The 4,752-nt window shown below is 41.3% G+C and overlaps 1 pseudogene; it reads right to left on the minus strand.

Annotated features, from left to right (window-relative positions):
* Positions 1 to 3,577, minus strand: BMS1P12 (BMS1 pseudogene 12; annotated as a pseudogene).

The following is a 4,752-nucleotide window of genomic DNA, read 5'->3' on the forward strand; positions in this document are numbered from 1 at the left end:
CTTATACAGAGAGTCCTTGTTTGTCTTTAGTCTGACACCATGGGCGAGCCTGAGTTGGCCCGTGGTCCACATTCCTGACCAGGTGTCTTTCTCACCCACTGGTTTCAACAAAGATGTTACTGGGTTATAGAAGGCTGGGATGGAAACAGGATACCAAGTTCGCATGAAGACAATATCTGAAAAGAGGTAATTTACTTTAACGTTTTCAAAAGAAGATTCATATCCATATTGTGAAGAAACAAAGAACAAAATCTTCACTCCAAACTTCTCTACCTGACTGCAAAGTATTTGAAGGGAAAGCTCGCTAAGGAAACTATTCTCATAGATCAAAGAACTGTTACTGGGTGTGGCCAGGGGACTGCAGACACAAGGCAAATGGGCACACTGCATAAGACTGGGAGATCTAAGGCTGGAGCTGCTCAACTCTCTGGAGACCTGACTCCAGCCTCTCGTCACACTGGCTAGAAGTCAAGCATGAATGGTAACACCCTGCCCTGAACACTACTTAAGACACTCACCGCTCATCCGCAGCTTATCCTCAAAGCTATCCTGGAAAGCTCCTTCTGGAGCTCAGAGTGCTCTCTTGATCTGCCCCCTTATCCCACTGACAGTTCGAATCACAGCATCTTCAAATTTGGCCACTTCCAAGGCAGAATTAAACATTCCCTACAGGTATAGCAAGATAAAAACACACACACACACAAAATCATATACTTTATGCTTTACTTCTTACTTCAAACATACATCCGTGATTAAAGAACAAAAACAACTCACTGAAGGGTGATAAAATAATCAAAATGTATTTGCCCCTGAAAGTGGAATTACTACCTCAAAAAGAATACAACTCTTTCATTTTCCCCAAAATAATCATGTGAGTTCATGGGCATGCTCATCACTGCTGTCTGTGTGGAAGAGAAGATCGAAGAGGGATTTACTGGACTGAATTGGCCTAGGAAGCCTTTGCTGGCATCTCTCAGACTGGACTGCAGCCCAGATCCTTTTACTCAGATGCATGCACTTAGAACATGAAAACAGTAAGATAAACGCCAGTGGTATTATTACCTTATATTGCAAGAACATTTTATGACTTCCTAACTCTGTTTTCAATAGAAACATCCCCACTAATGAAATTGTCAATAAATGCTGCTCAAACCACCCTCCCAAAATACTGAAAAACAGTACATCCGTTTCTCTGTACCCTTGCCAAGTTGTCTGCAAATGCTTTGTCGATTTTTCTACTGAGTTAGACAAACTTGTGATTTTTTTCCCTTTCTTAACACCAATTTAAAAAGTAGGAAACAAAACCTAGTGGATAAAATGACATATTTTCAATATGAGTTCTGTGGCAGTCTCACATGGAAGTCAGGAGTAACAGCCTCAATTCCTAAATAGCTGTTTACCACTGCTTTTTTGAGCATATTTAAGTAATACAGAATATAAAGGAGCAAACAAAATATGAAGTTTATAAAAGATTTCAAACACTTTTCTAAAAATAAGAGGCCCACATTTTAGAGGTATTTCATTCCTTTTCTCAAACAATATGGACATTTATAAATATGAGAATATATAGATATACAGACCTTAATAAATGAAGTGTTCTTGAAAATTTTATATGGAAAACCAGTTAGCTTTAATTTCTTCACAATTTTTATGGATTTATCCAGATCAAGGACAACTCCTGTGGCAGCTATCTGAAAATCAGGCTAACAGGAGCCCCAAAATTTGAAAATAGGAATAATATTAGCAAGAGAAAAACTTCAATTCTATGTGACACAATAAATTACCAAAGTGAATTTTACTTACAATTAGTTAAGAAAAACAAGAGAGACCATCTGAACTTGCAACCCATTGGTTTGACAAAAGCAATCCAAAACTTTAAAGTTGGTAAGCCAAACTAACAAGGGTGACTTGAGGCCAGGCACAGTGGCTCATACCTGTAATCCCAGCACTTTGGGAGGCCAAGGCAGGTGGATCACCTGAGGTCAGAAGTTTGAAACCAGTCTGGCCAACATGGCGAAATTCCGTCTCTACTAAAAATACAAAAATTAGCTCGGCATGATGGTGCATACCTGTAATCCCAGCTACTCGGGAGGCCGAGGCAGGAGAACCGCTTAAACCCAGGAGGCAGAGGTTGCAGCGAGCCAAGATCGTGCCACTGCACTCCAGCCTGGAAGACAGAGTGTGACTCGGTCTCAAAAAAAAAAAAAAAAAAAAAGAAAGAAAAAAAAAGGCTACTTGAGTACTTTCCTGAGAGTGATTTCAGAGGAATGTAATTTTACTATAATGATTTATTTGGAACGAAATGGAAAAGAAAAATACAGTTGCAATGTTTAGGAAATTAAAATTTGGACCTCCAGGGAAGATTCCATCTGCTCATTATTCTGCTTTCTTCTCTGTTAAATGGGACCAGTAAACCCTGCCCTGCCTGACTGGTCAAATGAAAATGGAGTGAACAGACTGCTACCCCAGCACAGCTGCAGGGAGTCTTGTGTCTGGGTGGTCTCTGACGGCTCCTCATAACCTCATATAGTGCTTAGCACATGGTGAGCACTGCTTAAATACTTGCTTGGTTAAATAAATGCAAAAGATGCATAAAAATAGGAAATGTACCATTATAATTCTTCCACCTCCCCTCCTCTAATCCCACACCCTACTGAAAAGGATGTACGAAGATTAAAAGCAAAGGGAAATTTACTTTATATTAATAAAAATGAGTAATTTTCAACTTAAAGTCTCATGTACATAATAACCCACATTCAGGATATATTTCTCAAACCAATCTGTAAAAGAAATCATCCAAGATAGTTACCATTATGCCACTGACAGACTGTATTGCCAAGAAACCAGTTCCCTGTGGAGTGATAGGGTCTTAAAGGAAAAGGAAAAAAAGAAATATAGCAAACCAGAAATTTTAGATTCTAGTTTAACATACTGGATATGGACACTTAGATTTGGATATAGATGTACATATATACTCCAAACCACCTCCCCGCTCCCAGAAAAGAGAAACATCTTAGGAGTGGAATTTTATGAAAGGAAAAGCACAAAGCTAAAATAACACAGCCTGTAAAGTTTAATCTCGGCAATAGGCAAGTTATTGTAATCATATTTTACCCCAAAAGGCGGCTCCACAATGGATATGCTGTGGCGTATACTTTAGAAGCCTTTGTCTTCCATTGTGGTCTTCGATATAATAGAGCAGGATGGTCTGAAACCTCCTCCACCCTACAGAAAATATGATTGGATCTTGGGACTTGAGGATTTTCTTATACCAGAGATGTTTCTTCAGACGCATCTGAGGGGGATGAGAGGGTAAGATGATTGATGGAGGGGAAATCCACAGAGCCTCAGGCACCAAATACGCAGCAAAGGGACCCACCTGCACATGTCCAACATTTCCCTCACTGTTGCCCAAGCCACCCAGGATAATGGGGTAAAGGGGGTCAAAGTTCTGCACAAATTCACAGGGAACATTTTCAATCTCAACGCGGACATACATCCCAGGTCGAAAACCCTCATACTGAACTCTGGCTTCATCATCTTGATCTTCAAATTCTACGTGATTCAGCTGTACATGATGGGGTGGGGGGGGGGGAACCTGTATGCTGTTATTTGTAATAAACATAGGATTAACATGAACAAATGAGCAATTTCTAAGTAAAGGAACTGTGGACAGAATTATGTAGGCTTTATCCTATTAAAAATACTACACATTTGGCCGGGTACAGTGGCTCATGCCTGTAATCCAGCACTTTGGGAGGCCGAGGCGGGCAGATCACATGAGGTCAGGAGTTTGAAACCAGCCTCGCCAACATGGTGAAACCCTGTCTCTACTAAAAATACCAAAATCAGCTGGGCATGGTGGTGCGTGCCTGTAGTCCCAACTACTCAGGAGGCAGAGGTGAGAGAATCGCTTGAACCTGGGAGACGGAGGTTGCAGTGAGTCAAGATCGTGCCACTGCACTCCAGCCTGGGCAATAGAGCGAGATTCCATCTCAAAAAACAAAAAAAACAAAAAAAACCCTACACATTTTACCTCTACAGTCTGTTCAGAATATGTCCCAACCATTTTCTTCTCTCCTGCTCCAAGGGACAGCAAATGTAGATAACTGTGGAGCCCTGCGTGCTCAAACATTGGAAACATCCCCAGTCCACACTTTCTTTCCTTCCTCTCCAAATAATTCTTTCACACTTTTCCCTTGTCTTCAAACACCCACCACCACCCTCACCTTCACTCAGCTGATGGCTGTTTCCTGATTCACTCCAAAACCAAAAGAACCTCTACGGTCAACCCTATACCAGGGTTTCCTCCCATATCCAGCCTTATCAGAGCTCTGACCTGCCCCATAGAGGAGCTATGTGTGGCTATTTAAATTAAAATTAATTACAATTACATAATATTTAAAATGCAGTTCCTCAATCACACTAGTCACACTGGAAGTGGTCCATATCAACCTGTGGCCAGTGTTACAATATTGGGAAGCACAGATGTGCATCTCCATGATCACAGAAAGTTCTACGGGCAGCTCAGGCACAGATGATTTGTCCATGCCTCTACTCAGGGCCACACATCACTTGCTCACTAGACACCATCCACTCTTCCTGGACTTTATTCCAACAGCTCTTCCCTCTGTTCTCTCTCTCATCTCAAAACCTTTTGATTCCACTTCTTCCACCAAAAACTGCTTCATTTCTCTGCTTCTCTCTGCAGCAAAACCCCACAAAAGTTTTCCACAGTTGCAGCCTCCAGTT

Source organism: Homo sapiens, chromosome 9 (genome assembly GCF_000001405.40).
Source record: "Homo sapiens chromosome 9, GRCh38.p14 Primary Assembly".
Lineage (NCBI taxonomy): Eukaryota > Metazoa > Chordata > Mammalia > Primates > Hominidae > Homo > Homo sapiens.